Below are 26,112 nucleotides of genomic sequence, written 5' to 3'. Positions count from 1 at the left end.
ATCAATAATTTAGCCCATCATTTGCCAACACTGACTTGGCTCAGTAGTTCAATCATGTAACCCTGTAAACTCACTTTCCATTAAAATGAATGTTGCTGACAAAGGATAACTAAAGAGATACTTCATTTATTAACTAAAGAGGTACTTCATTTATCAACATTTTTAAATTAGGAGTTTGGGGCCACAGAAGCTTAGCTGGATGATTTATTTGAAAGATCTTTATATTAGACCTGAAGACTTGCTCCAAATCATACGATGCAACCCACGAAGACAATCGCATTTCATTTGTGTACTTGTGACTCAGGGTTCTCTCTTCGGCAGCAGGCATAGCCACCTGCAGAGAATCAAATGACCTATCAGGATGAAAACTTGACTGTGTAGTAGAAAATTATAAAATGTACAGCATTCTTCTATATCCTGATTTACTCTGTTGGGCATATTTCTTACAAAATCTATAATTTGACAACTAATATTGTAATATCCTAATGTTGTTAAAAATTGATTTGAAGCATTAAGTAAACAGGCTAAAATTAGTTAATGATGAAGGTAAGGCTCCCTAATATTAACAACATGTACTTTAGTATGTTCAAATTTCTCATCGTTTGCCCCTGACCTATACTTTCCCTGATACAAATGCCTATAGATGTTACCCCCACTGTTTTGAGCAAGATAGTTTCATTTTCCAGAACTGATCCCACCTTCTGCTGCTATGTTAACATCACACCATTTTGGATGCAAAAAGCAAACAAACAAATAAAAACATCTGCAATGCAGTGAGCAAAACATGAAATCAAAATTCCTCATATATGTCAAAATTTTTATCTCCTAGGCTTTTAAACATATGATTTCTAGCAAATACCACAAGACTGCATGATCAGATCCTTCCTTGCTTCTTCTGTAATAAATTAAATGCATGTTCTTATTAAAACCTTTTTGTACAACAAGGAGGATCTCAGCATTCAGCCTCTAGAGTTGCCAGCTGGCATCTTTCCCTGTCTTGGATCAAAAAGTTCTCAGCCAGCTGATTCATTCAAAAGTCAAAATCCAGGGCTGAGGTTGGATTATGAAATGTTATCTTTACTGTATCAAAACGGCTTCTTTTTCTCTTATTTCATCTCTTTCTCTTTAGCTTTCCTTCCTTCCTTTAGAAATATTTATCCTGGAAGATTCTAAATAAGAATGATCCTACAGAAATGTTTTCTCCTGCCTCCCCTCATCTTTTCTTTGCCTTATAAAAGTTCAGATGGAAAAAACAGTTCTTTCTAATATTATGAGCAGGGAATTACTCATCTCACATGACTTGTTAGTAGAATTCTGTAGTCATTTTGTGAAGAAAGGAAGCTGCGCTGCACCAATGCAGACAGCAGCCAGGGGTCTACGGTGAGTTCCAGCATCATTGCCTTGGCTCATGTTTCTACAGTACTTTATATTTTCAATTTGTGCTTATTTTAACTTGGGCCTCACAAATAACCCTGGAAAGAAGATTTTGTTAGGTCCATTTTGTAGATAAATTAATTAACTCAAATAGTGTAAGTGATTTCCCAAGGCCACTTACTTACAGCAATAATTTTACATGATTTATTATCAGAGGGGAGAAGAGGCAAAGTGATTTTTCTGTAGTAAACCTGAGGTTTGTGGATTTCATTTCGTATGTTTTTAACTTATTGTGGAAAACATGTCACAATCATGGCATCTGTTAAACTAAGTGGTTGTATAATACGATATGATGTATTATCCAGGCTTAAAGCATTGTGAGAGAAAACACTTTATGCTGTATTTCTTAGTTACGTAAAAAATAAATAAATAATTAGTTTAAAATTTGCAAAGAAAATTCACCAGAATGCACTTAAATTTACCATACACATGTAGAAATACAAGACATGAAAATAAATATATGGATAGCCAGGATCTTAGCCATTGAATTCCTCTCCCACACATTTGACTTCATTAAATAGAAACATTCTGATTGTTTTTATCTTTCTCACTTAAAAATATTTGTAAAATTTAAAAATAGAAAAATAGAAGAATGTACATAACTCAATTTTCAGGCAAAACAAAATGAAAAAATGTGTAGTGTTAGTTATAGGCAAAATTTTTCTAAAGACCTTTTAAATATGTATCAGGAATGGACCATGATGGCTAGCACATGGATTTTAAAAAGACACTTGGAGGAAAACAGTAATATAAGCCTTTTATGAGAAAACAGAATAGAGACTATGTTTGCAGTTAAGTAGTACCTGTTCTGGAATACCTTAAGATAGTGAAAACTTATACAAATTCCAGTTGACCTAAAGAGATTATGTAACACTAAGAAAATGTGAATAGAAACCAATCAGCAAATTCATAAGACACAAATTATAAGGGCTAAGTGAAATATATAATGAGTTTACCAAGTTATACACAGACAAGTTATTTCTAAAAATCCTGAATATGTTGAGACATGACAAAGATCTGGGAGTGTATGTGTGTGTATGTGTGTGTGTAATAGAAACTTTTCATTAATTTAATAAATACTTATCAAATATCTGTGTAGGCATTTATAAAGATACAGACAGATATAAAGATGAACCAGATTCAGTTCCTGCTAAGAAAAAATTCTAGTCTATGATAGAAAAAATCAGCTAAGAGGCAATGTCAATATAGTATGATAATTGCAATGACAAAGAAAAAGGCAGAGGTGGGAAGATTTTCCATACAAAAGACAAACAGAGTACTAAGACCTAGACCTGAAAGAAATCTACACATTACTGGAATTAAAATATCTACATATGACTCTATAGGAGTACAATTGGGCTTTAGCTATGGGTGAGTGTGAAGAGATAACAGGAGCTTAATCTTGCAGATGGTTGTGTGGCATGCAAAGAAGCTTCAACTTCATCCTGAGGATATAGGGGAAGAAGCAGAGGAGTGGAAATTGATGTAAAGAAAAAGAGGGAGATGATAACATTTGAGTTTTTGAAAGATTGCTTAGACTGATATGTGGAAAGTAGAAGCTTGGATGGGGAGATGAAGGGGATGGAAATGGAGTAGAGGTTTCATGACTGGAACTGAGGAAATTGATTAAGGTGCTCTTGCAGGAACTCAATTTGGACAGCTAGCATCCTGAAATGATGTAATGTCACTGGAGATAAAGAAGGGTATTTGAGAGATAGCAAAGGAGTATGAGTGACAAGACTTTTTTTTTTAAGTGGATGTAGCATTTAGTTTCTAACATAGATATTTCTTTTACCTTTCCATGAATCCTGGCTTGGAAATTCAACAAAACACTGTCTTACACCATTCATTCTTTTCTTCCCTCCTTTTTTATTAAACAAAAATTGTTAACACTACTGAGTTTGGGGAAAGAGATAAAATGTGAAAGGAGACAGATATCTCTTTTGCTCCTGGGGACTGTCTGATACTGCTTTCTGTTCCTTTGAAGTCATTTCCATCACTACCTCCCAATTCTCTCTGCGTACCTTCAACTCTCTTATCTCATAAAAGAGAGAATATTCTTCCTGCTTCTATATATCCAGGCATTGTTTTTTCATACTTCCACCATGGCAATTGATGTATTAAGTTGTAACAGCTTGAATTTATTTCCCCAGACAGACTGGAACCCTAAAAACAATACCATATTCAGCTTTATATTCCCAATAGAGCCAAATACAATGTAAAATGCATATTATTTGAAATACATGCCAAATATATACATATAGCATTTTTATGATATATACCTACAACATGTGTATATGATACATACATATCTTCTTCAGAAGTCTCTAAAACCCTTGTAAGAAGGGTTCATGATTTATTCATCATCATACCCTGTGGAGTGCTTAGAGGGCATACGTTTTAATAGGTTTGCTATAAATATTTGATGAATAAAATGGACAGTTCTATCAAAGGATTACCTGAGATAGTATTCAGGAAATAATCTGGTATTGAGTTAATTAATGAAAAAAATGAACCAGGGCAGCATTAGGAAAATATCAGATTTCATTTATTCACACTTGAAGAACTTTTTTTATAAAACATACCCAAGAGTCAGTGCATTTTTAAAGGCAAGTAGGGACACCGTATTGTTTAAAGTCATATTTGAAAGCTCTCTTGTGTATTTATTTTTCTGCTTCCAATCTACCTGTGAGGCTAGGGAAAAAAAATCAAGAAATTGTATGAATCCAAAAAGTCATGAGATATATGTGAAAGGAAGCTTATGCATTAACATCTCTAGAAGTCTGAATGTAAAGAAAACTTCTGTTATCATTTTGCCCTTATTCATGTTATTATTTACAAGTAAATATATAATAACAAAGCCAAAATAAGGAAGTCCATTGAAAAACAATGTCAAGGCTGCAGATATTAACAGTGAAAAATTGTGTCACAACATTGTTTTATAAGAGAAAAGAAGAAAAAGTATCTAGGTGTGTATGAGCTAAATGGGGTTCCTTCTTTTGTTATTAAGTGTAACATTTCTAAAAGAACATTTCTGTTCATCATTTTTAACTTTGGTAACCAACTACTTTTTGAGTGTCAAAGATGAGTTCAGGAATGGGATAAATGTTTGTCCTATATTATTATTATTGGAACCTTCAGTTCACCAATGGTAAGGAACACACAGGCTGTATTTGCAATTGACTTTGGAACTTGGTAACAGGAAGAGGTTGGAACAGTTTGGAAGGCTCAGAAGAAGATAGAAAAATGTGGAAAGTTTGGAAATTCCTAGAGACTTGGAGGGCTCAGAAGATAGGAAGACATGGGAAAGATTGGAAATTCCTAGAGACTTGTTGAATGGCTTGGACCAAAATGCTGATAATGATATAGACAATGAAGTCCAGTCTGAGATGGTCTCAGATGGAGATGTTGCACTTGTTAGGAACTAGTGCAAAGGTCGCTCTTGTTATGCGTTAGCAAAGAGACTGGCAGCATTTTGCCTCTGGCATAAAAATCTGTGGAACTTGGAACTTGAGAGAGATGATTTAGGGTATCTGGTGGAAGAAATTTCTAAGTGGCAAAGTGTTCAAGAGGTGACAGAGCATAAAAGTTCGTAAAATTGGCCAGGCATGGTGGATCACACCTGTAATCCCAGCACTTTGGGAGGCCGAGGCAGGCAGATCATGAGGTCAGGAGATCTAGACCATCCTGGCTAACATGGTGAAACCCCATCTCTACTAAAAATACAAAAAATTAGCCAGGCATGGTGGTGGGTGCCTGTAGTCCCAGCTACTCGGGAGGCTGAGGCAGGAGAATGGCTGAACCCAGGAGGCGGAGCTTGCAGTGAGCCGAGATCATGCCACTGCACTCCAGCCTGGGCAACAAAGCGAGACTCCATCTCAAAAAAAAAAAAAAAAAAAGTTTATAAAATTTGCAGCCTGACAATGTGGTAGAAAATAAAAACACATTCCCTGGGGAGAAATTCAAATCTACTACAGAAATTTGCCTAAGTAATGAAGAGCCAAATGTTAATCATCAAGACAATGGGGAAAATGTCTCCAGGGCATGTTAGAGACCTTCACAGCAGCCCCTCCCGTCACAGGCCTGGAGGCCTAGGAGGGAAAAATGATTAATGGACTTGGCCCAGGGCCCCCCTGTTCTATGTGGCCACATAGAAAGAACATGGTGTCCTGTTGCCCACCTGCTTCAGCTCCAGCTGTAGCTAAAAGGGGCCAAGATACAGCTCAGGGCATTGCTTCAGAGGGTGCAGACCCAAAGCCTTGGTGGCCTACACATGGTGTTGGGCCTGCGGGTGCACAGAAGTCAAGAATTGAGGTTTGGGAACTTCCACCTAGATTTCAAATATATGGAAATACCTGTATGTTCAGGCAGAAGTTTGCTGCAGGGGCAGAGCCCTCATGGAGAACTTCTGCTAGGGCAGTGCAGAAGGGAAATGTGAAGTTGCAGCACACTCAGAGTCCCCACTGGGGCACTGCCTAGTGGAGCTGTGAGAAGACAGCCACTGTCCTCCAAACTCCAAAATGGTAGATTCACCGACAGCTTGCAGCATGTGCCTGGAAAAGCCACAGGCACTCAATGCCAGTTCATGAAAGCAGCTGGGAGGGGGGGCTGTACCCTGCAAAGCCACAGGGGCGGAGCTGCCCAAGGCTGTGGGAGCCTACCTCTTACGTCAGCATGACCTGGATATGAGACATGGAGTAAAAGGAGATAATTTTGAAACTTTAAGGTTTAATGACTGCCCTATTGGATTTTGGACTTGCATGGGGCCTGTAGCCCTTTTGTTTTGGCCAATTTGTCCCATTTGGAATGGGTGTGTTAACCCAATGCCTGTACCCCCATTGTATCTAGGAAGTAACTAACTTGCTTTTGATTTTACAGGCTCATAGGTCAAAAGGACTTGCCTTGTCTCAGGTGAGACTTTGGACTTGAACATTTGGGTTAGTACTGGAATGAGTTAAGACTTTGGGGGACTGTTGGAAAGGCATTATTGTGTTTTGAAATGTGAGGACATGAGATTTGGGAGGAGCTGGGGCAGAATGATATGGTTTGGCTTGGTGCCCCACCCAAATCTCAATTTATAGTCCTATAGTCTTCATGTGTTGTGAGACCAACCTGGTGGAGATAATTAAATCATGGGGGTGGCTCCCCACATGCTGTTCTCATGATAGTGAGTAAGTTCTCACAAGATCTAATGATTTTATAAGGGGCTTCCCCCTTCATTTGGCACTCATTCTCTCTCCTGCCACCCTGTGAAGAGGTGCCTTCCACCATGATTGTAAGTCTCCTTAGGCCCCACCAGCTATATGGAACTGTGAGTCAATTAAACCTCTTTTCTTTATAAATTACCCAGTTTTGGGTATTTCTTCACAGCAGCATGAGAAGGAACGAATACAAGTTAAACTATTAAATTTATAATAATAAAAAGGGATGCTCCTGTGATATCTCCAGATTATCCCTTAAGGCAGAATTATTTCAGTAGGATTACATACCAGCATATTACCTTCAAGCATAGGTTAACATAGGTAATAACTGAGTAAAAAAAGAATAAATTAATGAATAGATTGTAAAACAATTGCTCCTGGCAAAATAAATAAGTCTAATTTTGCAGACTATTTTTTTTCTTTTGACAAAACAAATACATCTGTAGTATTGGAATTCTAGAGAAATGTATAGTGGATTATGAGTCTTGTACTAAGAAGATACTCCTGGGCTAGAAAAAAATATGTTAGAAGACATCAGCATATTAGTGGTAACTGAAATTATGGGGAAGGTATTCAGCTGTAACATAGGAAAAGGTATTAGCTATAGAAGTCTAAAACTCTGTGTTGATCACAATTATGCCTAAGTATTATAGATTAATTTTTTACCTTTTAATATGCTTCCTTTGAAGTAGTATGTCTCCAATATTTTCCTAAAATTACTAAAAATAATTTTTTCATCTAAAGTTTAATCTTACCTGTTAAACTGGGCCTATTACTAACTTCAAGTAGCTGAAGTTGTAAGGAACTCACACACTGGGGCCCCACACAGCCATATCACCAGTTTCTGTAACTGTAACTGTTGGAAACTCTTGGGTAACTGTAACTGTTGGAAACCAGGAAATGTTTTTAAAAGTACTACTGAAAGTAAACGAAATCGAATGAGACATCCACATCCAGCCAAAATGAAGTAACTAGAGTCATATTTACCTGCCTGCCTAAAATAACCAATCACTGAACAAAGCATATGGAACAATAGTTTTCAAGCCATTGGTCATCAGTTAAGAAATGAGTGATCCCACAAAGAAATGAAACAAACAAGATGAACCCTACAATTTTCCTATCTTGCTGGCTTGAGAGACTTTACAAATCATGGTGCAGGTGGGAAGAATAGAGGCAGAGTCCAGCAAATTATGTGAATTGAGTAAATGGAGCTAAGGGTTCAAGGAGAATAAGGCAGCTAGGATTTACAAGACACAGTATCAGGGATGAAAGCCTTGCAGATTCTCTCTGGAGGTTTACAGAAGTCTCCCTTGGATAACCTTTTAAGCAGCAAATGCTTCTAAGAAAACTACCCAAGTTTTCTACTCATGAAAAGAGTCATCCAAAATATTAGTGGAAATAGTATCTGGTTGTTACATATGACATGTTTGTATCTAAGAGAATGAAAAAGCTTATGATTTGTGGAGAGTTGGGTACAATCCTCAGAAAAGTCTTGCCTCAGTGGTAGGGATTAATTAGCCGTATGCTAACGTAATTCTATTCCCACCTAACAAATTTTGAAAGCAAGGCTTAAAAGGATCAAACTATTTTCAAGTAACCTCACTGCATGCCACAACAAATCTGAAAACTATATATATAGGAATATGAAAATATCTAGCACCAAGGAAGGTAAAATGCACAATGTATGGCATCCAAGGAAACATCAAATCCAGGAATGCAAAAAATACCAGAAAAGTACAACCAATTAGGAGAGAAAAACCAATCAATTAAAACTGACACAGAACTGATAAAGAAGTTAAAATTAGCAAACAAATACATTAAACAGTTATAACAGTATCCCATATGTTTATAAATTAAGTAGAGACATTGAAGATATAAAAAGGACCCAATTGAACTTCTAGAAATAAAGCTTACAATGCCTGAGATGAAAAATACATAGAATAAGATTAGTGGCAGATTTAATATTGCCTAACAAAAAAGGCTGGTGAATTTGAAGACATAGCAATAGAAACTGTCCAAAATGAAAGAAAGAAATAGTTTTAAAAATGAAGAACACCAGTTAGCTGTAAGATGTCATCAGTCAACCTAATAAATGTGACACTTGAGTCTATGAAAGAGAAGAAAATAAAGAGAGAACAGAAAAATATTTAAAAAATCATGGTTAATTTTTTCATCTGTAAACTAAACTGTAAACAAAGAAATAGAGAAATCTCAAGAAACCCCAACCTCAAGATATGTAAGAAACTATACCAAGGCATATCGTAATGAAATTACTCAAAACCAGTGATACAGAGAAAAATCTTTAGAAGAGCCAGATAAAAATAGACATGTAATGTGCCGACGAACAAAGATAAGGTTAACAGCAGATTTCTCATAAGTAACAATGCAAATGAGAAGAGAGCGGAGTAACATATTTAAAGTAATGGGGAGGGAAAGTCATTCTAGCATTTTATACACAGTAAAATATCTTTCAAAATAGGGCAAAACGAAGACTTTTACAGACATACAAAAGTTGAAAATAGTCATCACCAGCAGACCTGCACTACAAGAAACGTTAAATGAAGTCTTTCAGGAAGAAGGACAAAATGACACTAGATAGAAATACAGGTCTCCTGAAGCGAATGATTGGCTCCCAAATGATAATGACATGAAGGAATATGTGATTATTTTCTTATTTTTAAAACACCTTTAAATGACAATTGACTGGTTATGCAACAAATGACAATATATTGAATAGTTTATAAAATATGAATAAGTAAAAAGTATGACAATAGCATGAAACCAACAGAGAATAAATGTATTATTATCTGGTTTTATACCGTTTTTTAAATGATATAATATCACTTGCATTCAGATTGCAAAGAAGTAAAATGGTCATTATTAGCAGGTAACATGCTTATCCATATAGAAAATGTAATTAAGTCTGCAAAGAAGCTCATAAGCTAACAAGTGAGCTTAGTAAGTTTGCATAATATAGCATCAATGTGCTAACAGTGATTGGATGTTGAAACTAAGAAGACAATGCCTATACAATAGCATCAAAAATGTGAAGTAATTTATACTTCTGTGCCACAAAAGAAAATTAAACTACATTTCTGAGAGAAATTAAAGAAGTCCTGAATAAATCAAGATGTACCTCATTTCTCAGTCAGAAGACTCAATATTGTTAAAGTGCCAGTTTTACCCAAATTGATCTAAAGATTCAACACAATCTGAATCGAAATTCCAAGACGCTTTTTCATAACAATTGAAAAGTTTGTTTTAAAACCCACAAGGAAATGGAAAGGACATAGAATAGCCAAAACAACATCATAAAGGAAGTACAAAGTTAAATGACTTACAATACCTAATTTCAAAATTCATTATAAAGTTACAGTAACCAAAAAAATGAGGCATTGGATCAAAATATATCAATAGATGAATAGAACAAAATAGCGGACACAAACATAAGCCCACATTTATGAAAACCTGATATTTTTACAATGTTGCAAAGACAAATTATTGAAGAAAGAATAATTTCTTCATGAAAAGGTGCTGTTAAAATTGCATATCTATGTGAAAATAAATAAAATTTCACCATTACCTTGGACAATATGCAAAAATTAACTCAAAATCATAATCCTAAACATAGAATCTAAAATTATAAAACTTCTAGATTTTAGGGGAAGAATACCTTTATGAACTTGGGATTGGCAAAGATGTCTTATGTACAGCACCAAAAGCACAAGAATAAAATAATAAATTGGATTTTATCAAAATGTAAAACTTCTGACCTTCTAAAGACACTGTTAAGGAAATGAAAAACTGGTCACACATAGGAAGAAAATATTTGTAGGGGATATATCTGATAAAGGACTTGTATCCAGAATATAAATGTTAAAAAAAGAAACTTTCAAAACTCAATTATTAGGTAAATAGATACTCACAAAAAGAAAAGGGCAAAAGATTTGAATAGACAATTCACCAAAGAAGATATACAAATGGCAAATAAGTAGATGCAAAGCTGCTTAACAGCACTGGTCATTTATGAAAGGCAAATTAAAACCACAATGAGATACCACTACACACCTATTTGAATGGCTACAATTAAAATACTGATCATATTAAAAGTTGGCTAGGATGGTAAGAAACTAAAACTCTCATACACTGCTTGTGGGAATATAAAATGGTACAACCACTGTAGAAAATATTTTGCAGTTTCTTAGAGTTAATGCATATTCTATAATCTGGCCATTACACATCTTGTTGTTTTCTCAAACCTAGCAATTTCTGATCGTGACTGCTTTGTTATTGTTATGTTCCTGGTTGTACATACCTCTATAAAGATCTTCTTTGTAAGTCCCCTCGGCTATACCAAAGGAGAATGGCACTTTTCTTATGTTCCCCCAACCTGAGACATTATAATAGACAGATAAAAGAAAGACACTCTTTAGGAGGCCGAGGCGGGCGGATCACGAGGTCAGGAGATCGACACCGTCCTGGCTAACGCGGTGAAACCCCGTCTCTACTAAAAATACAAAAAAATTAGCCGGGCGTGGTGGTGCGTGCCGGTAGTCCCAGCTACTCCGGAGGCTAAGACAGGAGAATGGCGTGAACCCGGGAGGTGGAGCTTGCAGTTAGCTGAGATTGCGACACTGCACTCCAGCCTGGGTGACAGAGCGAGACTCTGTCTCAAAAAAAAAGAAAAAGAAAAAGAAAAAAAAGACACTAACAAAAAAAACAACAAAAACAGCAAAAAAAAAAAAAACCCAAAAAACCACAACGATCCAAAGTTACTATTCCTCCCTGTATTTGTTAATAATTATTATAATTCAATTCAGCAAATCTATATTAAATACCCACAAGAGACCATGCACCGGACTAGGTTCTAAAATATAAAGATGATTGCATACAATTTCTGTCCTTGGGGAGCATGTGATTTGTGAATAATTTGAGGATCAGTATATAGAAACTTTTGTAGAAAATAACAAAGTGATCATTCATTGTGTTCTCTGTAATAACCATATATTTCATTCATAGTCTTGATACTTTTAGGTCTAAATATTTTGAATGAATATTTGTCAAATGATATTTCTCTGTCTTAATACTCATTTCAAAGCAATCAGAATGAAGAGAGTTTGAAGAAAAGTGGTGGATAAGCCATACTGACATAACAGTAAAATTCAAATTCACAAGCAGAGTTATTTTGTTGCATTTTAGGGCAAATTTAAGAGATTTTACCTAACTGAGAGTCAACCATCTACAAGGTTAGCTCATCAACAGTGTCACATTTATTCTCATGAGTAAAAATTATTTGAGGGCCTCTGATGAGCACAGAGCCTCCCTAGAAGTAGGTTACATGGGAATTTCAGTGGTGTGAGGAACAAGGCTGTACCCAAACACGAGATTTTTCTTGATGCCTATTCCAAACACCAAGTGTAATATAAGGAAGTATAGTTCATAAATGGCACAAAATGAAGCAAACTTTATGGTCAAGAGACAATTATCCTAAAGCTTTTAACATAAAGAAAGATAATTCAGTCACAGACTATGTAAAAGTTAAAAAAAAATTAAAGCAAACACTTAAAGCCCACTTAAAATTGGGCCCAATTAAACTAATACCTGGAATATCTAAGCTTTTTTGCTCTCAACATTAAAAACTGTGTAATATCACATTAAAAATATAAAAGAAGTTATAGTCGTCTCTGCATGAACATGGTAAAAACAAGACACAAACATCAGCAATACGAGATCTGCTCCAAAAAAACCCAAATTTGTAGGAATTTTAGAAAGCATGCACCTTTAGATTTAGGTCATTTCCTGCCAAATAATTTATTTGGTTAGGCCTCTTAAGTGCTTCAATATGTTAAGCCATGTGGCCTTCTCCAAATTGTGCTTACACAGTTACTAAAGTGAAAGCTCATATTGAGCTGAAACACCTTAGTTTTTAAATTGTTGAAATTCAAAGATAATATGTAGGAAAATTAAATATGTAACAAAAGTAAACAAATATGTTTATGTAACAAAATTTTGTTTATGTAACAAAATTAAAATGCAATGCTAAATTGTTTTGTATAAGCCTCTTTTCCTAGTCAAACTTCATGTAATCAGCAATCTAAAGTAAATCAGACAAATAATTGACAACTTAAAGTTTCAAACTTGGGGAGTATGTTCATATTCACAAATGTGTATTTCAGAAAACTCACGTGAGATTATTAAGTAATGTGACTGTTAAATATTCTTATATATGCAAGTCGTTTCCCAGTCATAATGAGGTCTAAGTATCCTTATATTGCTAACAGCTTTAGAACTGCCTTCACTGCCTTCAGGACATATAGCCTACAATTCCAAGCATATACAGCATTGACAAATCTCTGATTTGTGTGGGTTCAATTTTTGAAACAATCAAATTCACAAACAATGAGTAAAATGAATGACTAGCTAGAATATTATTTGTATTATTCTGTTTTCATGCTGCTGATAAAGACATACCCCAAACTGGGTAATTTATAAGGAAAAAAAAATGTTTAATGAACTCACAGTTGCACGTGGCTGGGGAGGCCTCACAGTCACGGCAGAAGGCAAAAGGCAAATCTTACATGGCAGCAGGCAAGAGAGAATGAGGGCCAAGCCAAAGCGGAAACTGCTTATAAAACCATCAGATCTAGTGAGATTTATTCACTACCATGAGAACAGTATGGGGGAAACCACCCCATGATTAATTATCTCCCACTGGGTCCCTCCCACAACACATGGGAATTATGGGAGCTACAATTCAAGGTGAGGTTTGGGTGGGGACGCAGCCAAACCATGTCGCTATTTTTGTTTCAAGTTGTGAGCAGGAAACTTCCCAACATAGCTATAAAGTTGGTTATGAAGATGGTGCCTACGCAAGAGCTGTAAGAACACATTGGGGAAAAAAACCATAAACCTTCCAAATAGGATGTGTAAGTACATATTGTGGCTAACTGAAATGAAATTTTATAGCCACATCTCAATTAATATGTACTACAGACATGGTGATTCTTTAAAATAGGCCCATCAGTGCCTCCCCATCACTTACAGCAGATAATCTTGGTGTGCAGTATCTGTCATCATCTATTTTCTATCTGCCTTTCCAAATATATCTTTAGCCATGCTCTGAGTTCTGAACACTGATATATTTAATGATTCCCTAAATAGATCCGTGCTTTTCCATCTCCGGTCTCATCTTTCAAGGACCAGCTTACACATCATCTCTTTTATTAGATTTCCCTAAACTTCCAGCCAGAAGTGGTATTTCTCTCCTCAAAACCACCACTTTTCTGTGACCATATCACATCCTGTGTTGTGATAAACTAGTTATTTCCACATCCCTTGAGGCCAAACCATATTTTGTGCTCTGGTTTACTGGGGGTAGGGGGATCCTTCCCTGAAAAAAAAAATGTGTGCTACTTTTCCACTTTAAGCCACAATATCTTCCACTGTGCCGGGAACAATGCCTCAGAAATAACAGAGGCAAATAAATGTTTGTTGCATGAATATATGAAAGAGAAAGGTGACTTACAATGTCCATACAAGGTTTGAAAAGTAACTACGAGATCTCATTTTAACTAAATTCTTTTTCTGCACATCACTACAATTTTCCCAAATATATCTGGTTGAATCTTAATATGTTGTGTTACCTGATAAAAGATCAAGTGGACAATAAATTTCAGAAGTGCTGAGTTTTAAAATGTTAAGCGGGATTTGTTTTTTGAAATTTCAGAATATCTGTAATCATACCATAGTGCTTTGTATCTCTTGAAAAAGTGGAATAGAATATTCAGTGTTTACAACATGTTTTGCCACAAAATATTTGCTCTTTCTCAAGAAAACACAATGGGGCTACTCTCTGCTGATTGTATTCTGAGAATCAAAACACAAGTAGGATTAAACTCCTGCTAATTAATTTAGTAATAAGTCTAGAAATAGAAAAAATGAAGTATTAATAGTATACAATTTTATTTATAAGAATAATTTAAGGAAAGGTTGCCACTCATGTTGAATTCTAGGAAAAAAAAGAAGCACTAGTTTCCTAAAAGAAAAAAAATAGGACCTATTATTATCCACAGATTTAATTGTTTCCCCCCAAAACTGAGCAAGATCACGGAGCATGATCATTTGTTCAACAGGGAATTCGTGTGAAATTTTCTTTATTAACTGGCTGGAATAGGATACTTGAAATATTTTTCTCCCTTAGAGTATATTGGTTTAGGATAAGTAGTCCTCTTTTTAAACTATCACTTTGTTATATATAAAATGAAAGGATCACTTTCTCTCCATCATTTGGCATGTTGTCAAAGATGTGATTATTTTCCTCTCTAATCTAAATAACCTCACACCATGTTCCCTGAAAGGCAACCTCATCATTCAGCTTCATGATTCTCCTTCCAATATCCCCTAACTTCAGCACAAAGGCCTGCAGCTAGCTGCTTTGGTCTCTGAATTTCTAACTTACTTTTTTGGAAATCTGATAATATTTGAAATACCAGTTAAAATCTGGCAATATAATGTTTCTTATGAATGCTTCCCCACCAAAAATCTAATAACATTGCACAAAAAAAAAGACAAAGTAACAATTTTCTTTCTTCAAAACCACTCAGCTATGCAATCTTGAGTTCTTTTAGACCTTCAGAAGGTATGATCAGTATGCATAGGAAAAGTCATGTCTCTTACTTAACTTTGCAAGAGTGCACTGCGAAGCATTAATAGCAGCATTGCTGTGTTAATAAACTTCAGTCAAAATGCTTTGGGAGATAATTTGATTAAAAAAAAAGAATAAAAAACACCAAAGCTGAAATATAGCTTTTATAAGCTGCAAGATCAATTCACCATGTGCTTTTTTAATCAACTGAAATATATACATTTAAACAGAAAACACAGATGACTTAACATTCTCCCATATCATGTCAGTCAGCATGACTAGTTTCTCATAATTTTTTTTTTAGAAAACTCTCTTGTGCTCTGACTTATGGGGAAAAAAACTTTCCATGAAAAATGTGTGCTACTTTTCCACTTTTGGCCTTGTATGTGCTTCTTCTCTGCCTTAATTGCAGTATAAATCAACTGTAAAAGAAGATTTACAGTGATTATGCCTCACTTAGAGAGCTGCGAAGATTGATCTGGAAGTGGTATGTTTTTCAAGCCCCAGGTCTACTTTTCATCTTAGCTGGTTCTACACTGAATCCCAGGACATGTATGGCGATATTCAAAATGAAATTGATGTGAGAGGAGAAAGTTCTGGTGGGTCACTCTGTTCTCTGTGTTCTCACTGAATATACCTAATCACTTACCCTTCCAAAACACTGGGGCAAAAGACTTTACAAACCATGTGAACTTCAAACTCATTTACTACATTAGGAGAAAAGATGACCATAACTACTGAGTGGATCCTATATATCCTCCCATTTTCTCTTTATGTGATCAACTGGGTGGGATGGCAACAGAAACAGAAATCTTCCTGTTTTGAGTAGATGAATTATTAACACTGTCATCAATAACTTATTAAGGAAGGGCTATATTCAGGTCATTGTAGTAGTTTTTTGAAGAGAGGTTCATCAATCCTTACTTTTATGAAGTTTGTTTTCTTTCTACTGGAAGTTTATTCCTTGATGTGATCACATCAAAGCAACACACGAACATAGAATTAAGAAACAAGTAGACATAATGTAGTATGTGCTTTCATATCTTTCCTCCTTCAAAAGTTCTGGAACATGTTGAATTTTGGTCTAAGCTCAGTAGCAGGACCTAACTTCCATACCTTTACCATCTGCACCTTTGCCCATACTGTTGGCATTCAGTCAAGTGTCACTCTTATCTAAAAGATGAAATAGCAGGTCTTTTAGCTTTCTTCTTGTTAGATTTCTTTGAAAGAGTCTTTTTTATAACTTAATTGCTTCATTTAAAAAGTGACCTCAGTGATTTCTTGATGAAAAGTAATAAAATCTCTAATAAATTATTAGGACAGCTGTTTGCTAACTTGCCAATATATCTCTTTTAAAAATGGGCTCCTCTTTCCAAACAACACTCCTGAAAGATCATGTTTTCCTGTTCAATTGTTCCCTACTTTTATCGTTTTCCTATAGCAGAAATCTCCTGTTGAATAGACAAGTGCCAAAGATTTTCACTCTCAGCTCATATGAGGACTCAGAAAGGAATGTAATCATACTTAAAAAATAAAGTATATTCTCAAATCTAGAAATTAGCTAGTAATTGAAATTATCATCACAGTGTTTTAACTGATGACCATTGAACTCTTTTCCGGCAAACGGCTCATAGAGCATTAATTGCATGTCACATTACAGATCTGCAGAGTTAAGTTCCATCTTGCCCTTGGTACTGTGAGGTCTAAAGCAACTTTGTAAGCGTCTTTCAGAATTAAAAAAAAAAAAAATCATTAAACTGCAGGAGTTCTATTAGGTCTGCTAAAATATGTGCCCCATTGTCCTTTCACATGTCATTCCCTGACCCTCAAAGCTCTATTACTGAGTTCCTACTGTATTTCAACACTGCTGAGGAGCTCTACCTCCTATGTCTCCCCAGAGCACCTCAAGAACGTTCTTAACACACCCCAGAAAATCATTTCCCACATAAAGCAAATCCAATGAGTTTAGAAAGGGAGGTTGATTCTGATTTCATTTTGTTCTGATCAATGTTTTGCATAAGGGGGACTACCTGGATCTTTTTCTTTTATAGTCCTATAAACATTTTAATTTATTATTTAAAATAACTCATATAACTGCTGGTCACAAAGCAGGAAGCAACAGACACTGGGGTCTACTTGAGGGTGAAGGGTGGGAGAAGGGAGAGGAGCGGGAAAAATAACTATTGGGCACTAGGCTTAGTACCTAGATAACTAAATAATCTGTACAACAAACCCCCATAAGGGAGAAAACGAGTTACAAAACAAAAAAGTTTACCTATATAACAAACCTGCACATGTACCCCTGAACCTAAAATAAAGTTAAAAAATAATAATAATAATTCATAATAGTGACTATACTAATATAAAAATAGAATCCTAATCTAGGAACAAAAAGTAAAATATTTTGTCTCTGGTATCAATCAGTAAATTATATTATGAGATCTAATATCTGCATTACGAAGTTTGCAAGAAGCAAAAAAAGAAAAGTTGATAAAAGTTAATGAAAGATATATTTTAATATATGACTATATGCTGACTTCATACAAACATTCACAGAATTATAAATCTTATTTTTCAAATTTCATTAATTCAAAAGGGGCTTCTTCTTTTTCTGTATAATTTATACAGGGCTTGGTTTGACCTTGGATCAATCATTTTGTTGATTTTCACCATGAAAAGATTTTTATTTCCCAAGCAAATACTAAAAACATAATATGAAAAAAAACTCTGCCAATTCAAGCAAATGGATTCTTTTTTAGTACTTTAGAAACACTCTTAAATATCCAGAATGTAATTGTAATGCTAATTTAAGATTAAGAGAATGTAAACTGGCATTTTATTATGCAAATTACACATCAATTGTAATTAGCTTTATTAAAGCAAGGCTTCATCTAGTTAAATTTTTCATACAAATTCAAAATTTAGATTCATTGTTCTTCCATTAGTCTATCTATATATTTATAATGGAGTGTGTGTTTCTATATAAAGACCCAAACATTTCGGATATGAAAGAGATAACGTTTGATTACTGACAGGTGTCTGAAGCCGGAACTCATGGATGCTGAATCCATCTACCATGCTCCTATCTGCACACTGAGTCATGCAGGTTATTAGTGCTGATCACAAAATAAAATACAGGTGGATTTTTCCTGTGTGTTGTCTTTTACTTCAAGGATCAAGGCTCAGTCACCGTCATTACTGTTGTGTGCTATCTCCAAATCAAGACCTAAGTTCTTACAAATACTAAAACATGGTTCTCTTTCCCAATAAAAAGAAAATTCATTCCTAGCCCATTAATTGAGCAAGTATTCTGTATATCTATGATATCCTCATTTCTGAATTAAAGATTTATACCACGTTTGACTATTCTCATAGGACTTCTTATATAACTTGACTGAATCCAATTATGAAATCCTTTAAAAGTAGGATGATTTTTTTCAGGCTTTATTCAGATGGATTTTTCAATGTTTCATTCTTATCTCTTATTTAAAATCTTTTTTTTTTCAGTTATGTTCCTATTCCTAGAAGAAAATGATATTTAAGTATCTTTCTTAAAAATAAACATAGAAGTATTTCCATCATCAAGAAATACATATTAACACATATCAAATATTTCAGTTGGAATTAATCACTTAGTTTTCATAAGACTATTTTATACCTGCTTAAGTATATAGCCTTATATCTCTACAAAATATGTTCATGATGGTATTGTGACATCCAGACATCCAGAGCTGGACCTTTTAAGGGATTATTTCACTTCTTGGGTAATTAAAGTAATGTAGTCTTTAGTGTAGAGACTATAAATAGCACTGAAGGGATGAGACGTATGATAATTACCCAAAAAACCGCTTATATGTATTATGGCTCAGTTATAACATGCATTTAGAATGGCAGCAGACCAAACCAATATTGAAAATCAGAGCACACAGTTACAGTACATATTCTTAATATCCAAAAACAAAAGTGAACTCTGCGTTTTCCTATCTACAAGAATAGTTTGAGAAAAATACTTTGCAATAGATAAACCTTAAGACAAAGGTCATCAAGAACTAACTTTTTATGTGTTGTTGCCTTTGCCCTTGTTTACATTTAGAAGAAGAAAACAGTGGGGATCCTACATTACTGCAGCATGTAGTTATAAATATATATTATACACATTTTATACACACATTTTACTAATTATTAAGTACCCTTCTGTATGTGTATATGTGTGCATGTGTGTTGTTTCTTTCCTTGCATTACAATGCAAACTCCATGAGGGCAAGAAATTTTCCTTTTTCCCTATTTATATAAATAAATATATTTGTTGAATAAATACGAACATCCAGTTGTTGAAGCACTATGAACAGAAGCCTAGTGACCATCATTATAATTTGTTCTTATCTAATAACCAAAATTTCACTTTCTCTATGTGACAAATTTGCCTAAAATCTTTGTAATGGGACAAGGATGATAGTGGGTAAAAGAATCTCTAAAGCAGTAGAATAATTTAATTGTCTCATTCACTCTCTACCTTAAAGTTAGTTGGACTTTAATTTTTAGAACTTACTAGATCATAGAGAAATCACTCTTCCTTGGGGTTTATACTGTTTGTCTCCTATAAAGGAGAATGTAATGGTGTTTGTCGTTATTTTTATTGTTGATAAGTTTTCCATGTGTATGATTTCATAATAATGCTCTGTTTTCTTAATTAATGAGTACTTATTGATTTTGTTTGTTTCTTGCTTCTGAACAGGAGGAATCTTCAAATTTAATGCAACACATCTTAGGTTTCTTCCAGACTTTGACAGATGGCACATGCGAAAACGATGGTTAAGCAAACAACCAATGTATCTTGGATGCTGAAATAAAAGACAAGAAAAGTCACACAGTTCAGATAACAGTGTAATTGGACATTCACCTGTTTGCCATTTCACACTTCCATGAACGAAAAACTCACTCACCTCCCAGCATGCTTTGCCACTCTTTTACTCACAGCAAATCCATAACAATGAAACAGGTGACTTTCATGCTGCTGTCAGGAACGATCTAATTTCAGCTCTGGGTGACTGATTGCAATTGGCTTTGCCTCATCTGATAATTAATCTATGTCACCATTAATTGGAAGAGAGAATAATTACTGGCGGTGTTGACAGTGACTGTTCGCTTCCCCAGATTTCCCTATCGTCTTGGCCCAAATAAAGGCTTTGCCATTCAGTACTTAAAGTTTGTGTAAACTGTAACAATATCTATGCCCATGTGACACTTTGAGACACTCTGTCTAATGTACTTTTGTTTTTGTGTTTACCAGTCTTTTTTAGCTCACTGAGAGCTGTCTCTCTCAATCACTCCTCAATGTTCTATCTTAATTTTGTGGAAGTTTAAAGTTTTCAATGAGCTGGAGATGAATGATTAATGAATAAATTTAAATGCTTCATTTTGTCCATGGATCATTAGTCAAGTCCTTTGTGGTAAGGACCTGAGAAAGGAGGGGAAATTATTGAGACATTAGCCTGAAGCAAGCTTGAGGTAAATATTATGCAAAAGAAGAGAGAGAGATGAAGACACACACACACACACACACACACGCAGAGAGAGAGAGAGAGATGAAGACACACACACACACACACAGAGAGAAAGAGAGAGAGAGAGATGGGGCAGGGGAGAGAGAGAAACAGAAAAAAGTGGGGCACTTTAAAGAACAACTTGAATGGCCTGGTGAAAGGCCTCCAGAAATTTTGAATCCCTGGCCATTCCCAGTTTAGTTTAATGGGTACATCTGGCCACTTGTTCCCCAATGCCTACAAAAGGGAAAACATGTTTCAGTTAAACTAATTGTTTACAGTATGTTGCTTAACTAGAGATCCAAATCTTTCTCCTACTCATTTACATAGAAGCTTTTGTTTTCAGAACCTGCCACAAACTGTGACACTGCATATTTTATAGAAGAATAATCACTGGTCGTAATAAAAATGTGGAAAGTAAAGATCTCTGGCATTTTATATATTTATCTTTAGAGCAAATGATCCTAGGCCTGGAAATAAACTTTTTTAACATTTCTCTACTTTTAAGAGGGTCTTTCACCCTAAAATAACTTTTAGGAAACTACAACAGCAACATTTTATTTTGCTCATACTGCCAAATTTTATGAGTACAATTACTGATCTTTACCTCAATTTATTTCTTCAAATGGATATACATGAACAAAACAATAGCAAAAGCTTTGTCTCCATAAACTTATTACAAACACAATAGCTAAAGGCCTCACTTTATGTTGACCTCACTCCCAAAGTACTATATAGCCCAATGGTATGTCAACATTTAAGGATAATATTGTGCTGAATAAAATATCTAAGGGCCCTCCAGTATATCTTTATATCTCTAAAGAGAATTGAACATATATTACATTATATCCTCTACTAGGATATAATTTTACTATGATTTCCAGAGAGGGACTCCAATACCTTACAAAAAAATACAGTGCTTAATTCATTCTTTTCATTTCAACTATATTTGTTGAAAATCTTCTGTAACCAATATGTCATGCTAGGAACTGAGAGATGTGTACAAAAGTGTATGGAGGTAGTAGCCTTTACTTCTTAAAGAATGACTAAGATTTGAATATGCAAAAACCCAGATGACAGTGTTCCATTTAGGTGTAAACCATGAGAAAAGACACAGAAGGGAAAGCATGAGCCTGCATCAGAAATGGAAATCTTCTACAAGAAAGCCTTTAATAGATATGTTAATCTAAATGACTTGGAATAAGGCAACACAATAGAATTCACACACCCAGTGGTAATTAACATTCTTATTAAGAACTAGTTATCTCCGGCCGGGCGCGGTGGCTCACGCCTGTAATCCCAGCACTTTGGGAGGCCGAGGCGGGCGGATCACGAGGTCAGGAGATCGAGACCATCCTGGCTAACACGGTGAAACCCCGTCTCTACTGAAAATACAAAAAAATTAGCCAGGCGTGGTGGCGGGCACCTGTAGTCCCAGCTACTCGGGAGGCTGAGGCAGGAGAATGGCGTGAACCCGGTAGGCGGAGCTTGCAGTGAGCCGAGATCGCGCCACTGCACTCCAACCTGGGCGACAGAGGAAGACTCCGTCTCAAAAAAAAAAAAAAAAAAAAAAGAACTAGTTATCTCCTAGCTCTCAGGACAAATTGAAAGGTCTGCTTTACTTTCCTCTAAAAGTGTCAACTTTGTAGAAGCTGTCTCTGTGGTTGCCTATTTTAAAATCACATTTGAAGTCAAAGAACCTAAACCTTGCTGCCTTCTGAAAATCATCTAGACAAAAAATCTGTTTCCATTAATGACTTGCAAATCTCTATCATTATAGTGGTAGCTCTCTCATAAGATGGCTCTTGATAGAAGATGCACTATATTTTATCAAATTTTCTTTAGTTCTTGGATGATTTCTTTTTATAAACATTTAAAAATTTTTTAACTCTGCATGCCGAAATGGAAATCTGTATATCTAGAGTACTTCCGAGGAAAATACATACTAGATGACTTTGTCATTAAAAAGACATAAAACCCAGAATTGTCATAAAGTGACATTTCAATATTTTCTATGATGAAAAAAAAATAGACACATCAATAGATTGGTTATTTTAGGACTTCCAATCCGGTACTAAGGAAATTAGACAGTAGATTAGTAGCCTGACTCCACATCTGTCTTTCAATTTACTGAAGTCACTTCAGTAGCATCCCTCTTGACAGAATAAAACTGAGCAGAGGAGGTCTGGGCAGGAACCTGCAGGTGTGATAGTGATGCCATTGCTCACCTGTCAACCGTCTTTCAGGCCGGGCATTTCCTGAATAGATAGATTACATTGAAACAATGTGGGTTGCCTTCTTAAAGCCTATCAAATAGAGAGTTGCCCTATACATTAAGGATTAAATTTAAAGAAATAGGTCTGAAGGATTTCTCCCCTATAATATTTAATAAATTTGTTCTTGAATATGCAATAAGACATTAAAATTCAAGGCAATGTTGATCTTACCCCCACCTCTTAATCCCCGTAAGACTTTGAGATTAGTAGTATTCTTTCTGATTTTGCTCCTAATCCGGTGGAACTATATAGGAAGATTCTGTGTACTATCCATGGAGCAAATATGTAACAGATTGTTCTGTACAACATGTCACAAACCACATAACAAAAACCTCAACTACAGGCATCAGGTTTCTAACAGCGCCAATACCTGACCTAAGAGACCAGTCACACTGAAAACTTCTGTTTGTAAGGATGAAACTTGTGAGGTATAATCAGGCCCATTCCAATGAAAGGTCAGGATATATGAGAAAGGAAAGGAGAAAGAAGTCAGTCGGGAAGCATCAGAGACGAATTATTTCACGCCCTCAGGGCTATCACAACAAAATTCAGAAAGCTGAAGAGCAAACTTTAAATAACACTGGTAGAAAACATAATTATAGAAAGAAGTTGCCTCCCTACTTTGAACGGAAGAGCTCTGACATCAAATGCCTGCTGGGGATCATAATTTAATCATTACAATAGAAAGAGTTGTTTAAGAATGACTGACTGGCATTGAGAAACAAAAGATAGATGGCAAGGGTGACTTCAGAGCTGCAATTCTCCCACACCACAAGAGCATTGAACAATATCTCAGCCTGGTCCTGCTTGGAGCCTCTTCTTGGGCTTCTATATTCTTAGTCACTCACTGTCGTCTGTATTCCACCATTATTCAATAGTGATCCACAGCAAAACTGAAATGGGTATTTCCTTAAATTTGGGCTTTTAAACTAATTGCTGTGGGTTCTTTCCGGCTGCCACTGCCTACAACAGACGAGCTCTCCTTTAACTGTATTTTTACAGCTGAAATGATCTCTGTGACTGATTTACTTCTGCACAAATCTGTGCCAGACAAAAATTTAGAGAAGTGTCTCTTTTCTTACCCTGCTTTACACTACATTGGTAGTGTGCATTATATAAAACATTTTGGCATTTTGGCAGAAAGATAACAACATGTAAAATGAGGAGGGAGGAATTACTCTACAAAAATCATTGTTCTGTGTTACAGTATTAGATAATTTTTGGTGTTTCATGTCCTTTTTGAGGAAATTAAATGAGGTAAGTAATGTAGGTGCTATGACACAGCATTTATAGAACATACATAATTTTGGAGGGATTTTTAGATAAGATTATGTCTCTACATATGACCTACAAAAATTAATACTCTATAGTGTCTTAGTCTGTTTTGTGCTGCTATAAAGGAATACCTGAGGCTGGGTCATTGATAAATAAAAGAGGTTTATTTGACTCATGGCTCTGCAGGCTGTAGAAGAAGCATCGTGCTGGCATCTGCTTAGCTTCTGGTAAAAGATTCAGGCTTCCACTCATGGTGGAAGGTGAAGGGGAGCTTGCATGTGCAGAGATCACATGGCAACAGAGGGAGCAAGAGAAAAGCAGGAAAGCACCAGGCTCTTTTTAACCAGCTTTCATGGGAACTAACAGTGTAAGAACTCACACATGCCACAGAGAGGGCTTTAATCTATTCATGAGGAATCCAACCTCATGACCCAAACACTTCCCATTAGGCCCCACCTCCAACATTAGGAACAAATTTCAACATAAGGTTTAAGGGCCACACATCCAAACTAAAACAGTAAGAAAACATTATTTAAAAGAGGTTAAAAATTAGGCAGAAGGAAAATAAGGAATCAAATAAGCCAAGGAGGGAAGTTGGTACAAAATACATCCATGAAGCCTTCTATATTTGCAAGTAATGACTGCAAGTTAGGCTCTGAGCTTTCTAATAGCCAACATAAGAAACAACTCTTGCAATAGTTTGGTCACTCTATGTTAGTAATCCTGGGCATAAGTATGTAGAGAAATGTAGAACATTTTATTTTATTTAACATTCAACTATAATTTTTATGTTCAGCTCTCTATACTCAATATTGGCCATACTCTGTCTCTGGCAGAAATGGAAGAGTTTGAACATTCATTGCAAGAAGAATGAATATATATCTTGTGTCAAAATTTGACTGATAATAATAAAATAATAAACTCCAAATTTCTCCTTGAAATCCTTTAGCAGAAATAACTGCTATAGTCACATGGAAAATCTTCGAATGTCACCCATCTGTGATTATATAACTAACCATAGATCCCATCCAGGCCTTTGCAGAAGACTGTCTTTATTGATTTACTAAATACGGTCATTTGTTTGTTTGTATTCATTGTTATGTGATGAATCCAGAATGATCCTATTGGTATTCAGCACCAAGCAGCTGCTGAAATTTCCCAAATCTTGTTATTCCAGTTATAACTTTTAATGTATTTTATTATATGTGATAATACCTATTGGGCAGATTTTTATTTTAAGGTTTTTCTCTTCCTAAGCATAAGATTATGAGGTATAAAGAATGAAATACCATTTATAGTCTATATGTATGCATTTATCTCCTAGAGTCATGAATTCATAATCTCATTCACATGTAAAATACATATGGTTAAGATGTGAGTAAAAGCTTGGAAGAAGGTTGAAAACAGGTCAGTGATAATGAGAAAAGAAGAAAAAATGTATTGTTTAAGGCATTTAGGGTAATATTTTGTTTCTAATTCTTCATCAAAATCACAAAGCAGTTTCTGAATATGAATGTAATTGTACATGCCTCTTTATTTGTAATAATTTAATTTTGGCATTTTGAATTGAACTACCCATTAAAATATTATCTTCGTTGCTGAAACAAGTCATATAAGGACATTGACATACTTCTTAAGAAATCTGTTCTGAGCCAGAAAAGTATACTTCATTTTAACAAGGCGTTCACAAGTCCATTGCTGTATTCCAAAACAATTCTACTGTGTTGCATTCATACAAC

The 26,112-nt window shown here is 35.3% G+C and overlaps 1 protein-coding gene and 1 long non-coding RNA gene across 11 annotated transcripts in view; one reads left to right on the top strand and one right to left on the bottom strand.

The window, feature by feature from the left end:
* Nucleotides 1–20,700, top strand: part of CCDC178 (coiled-coil domain containing 178) — a 503,635-nt gene extending 482,935 nt beyond the window's left edge. For all 8 annotated transcript variants that reach the window (NM_001371120.1, NM_198995.3, XM_011525951.2 and 5 more), the window contains one exon: nucleotides 20,015–20,700. In NM_001371120.1, the coding sequence (NP_001358049.1) occupies nucleotides 20,015–20,095 (81 nt within the window). In that variant the 3' untranslated portion in view covers nucleotides 20,096–20,700. The remainder of the gene's footprint in view (nucleotides 1–20,014) is intronic.
* LOC105372059 (uncharacterized) lies at nucleotides 192–20,021 on the bottom strand. 3 transcript variants are annotated; one of them, XR_935365.3, is made up of 5 exons: nucleotides 19,829–20,021; nucleotides 4,020–4,128; nucleotides 3,459–3,600; nucleotides 1,296–1,472; nucleotides 192–334 (listed from the first exon to the last, which is right to left on the bottom strand). It is a non-coding gene; the product is annotated as an uncharacterized LOC105372059 (long non-coding RNA). The 3 variants fall into 3 exon arrangements; XR_001753402.2 differs by lacking the exon at nucleotides 1,296–1,472; XR_007066328.1 differs by lacking the exon at nucleotides 4,020–4,128.
* Nucleotides 20,701–26,112: the final 5,412 nt, after the last annotated feature.

Source organism: Homo sapiens, chromosome 18, assembly GCF_000001405.40.
Source record: "Homo sapiens chromosome 18, GRCh38.p14 Primary Assembly".
Taxonomy (NCBI): domain Eukaryota; kingdom Metazoa; phylum Chordata; class Mammalia; order Primates; family Hominidae; genus Homo; species Homo sapiens.
The sequence above is the reverse complement of the archived record's forward strand: the minus strand, read 5'-3'. Positions and strand labels throughout refer to the sequence as shown.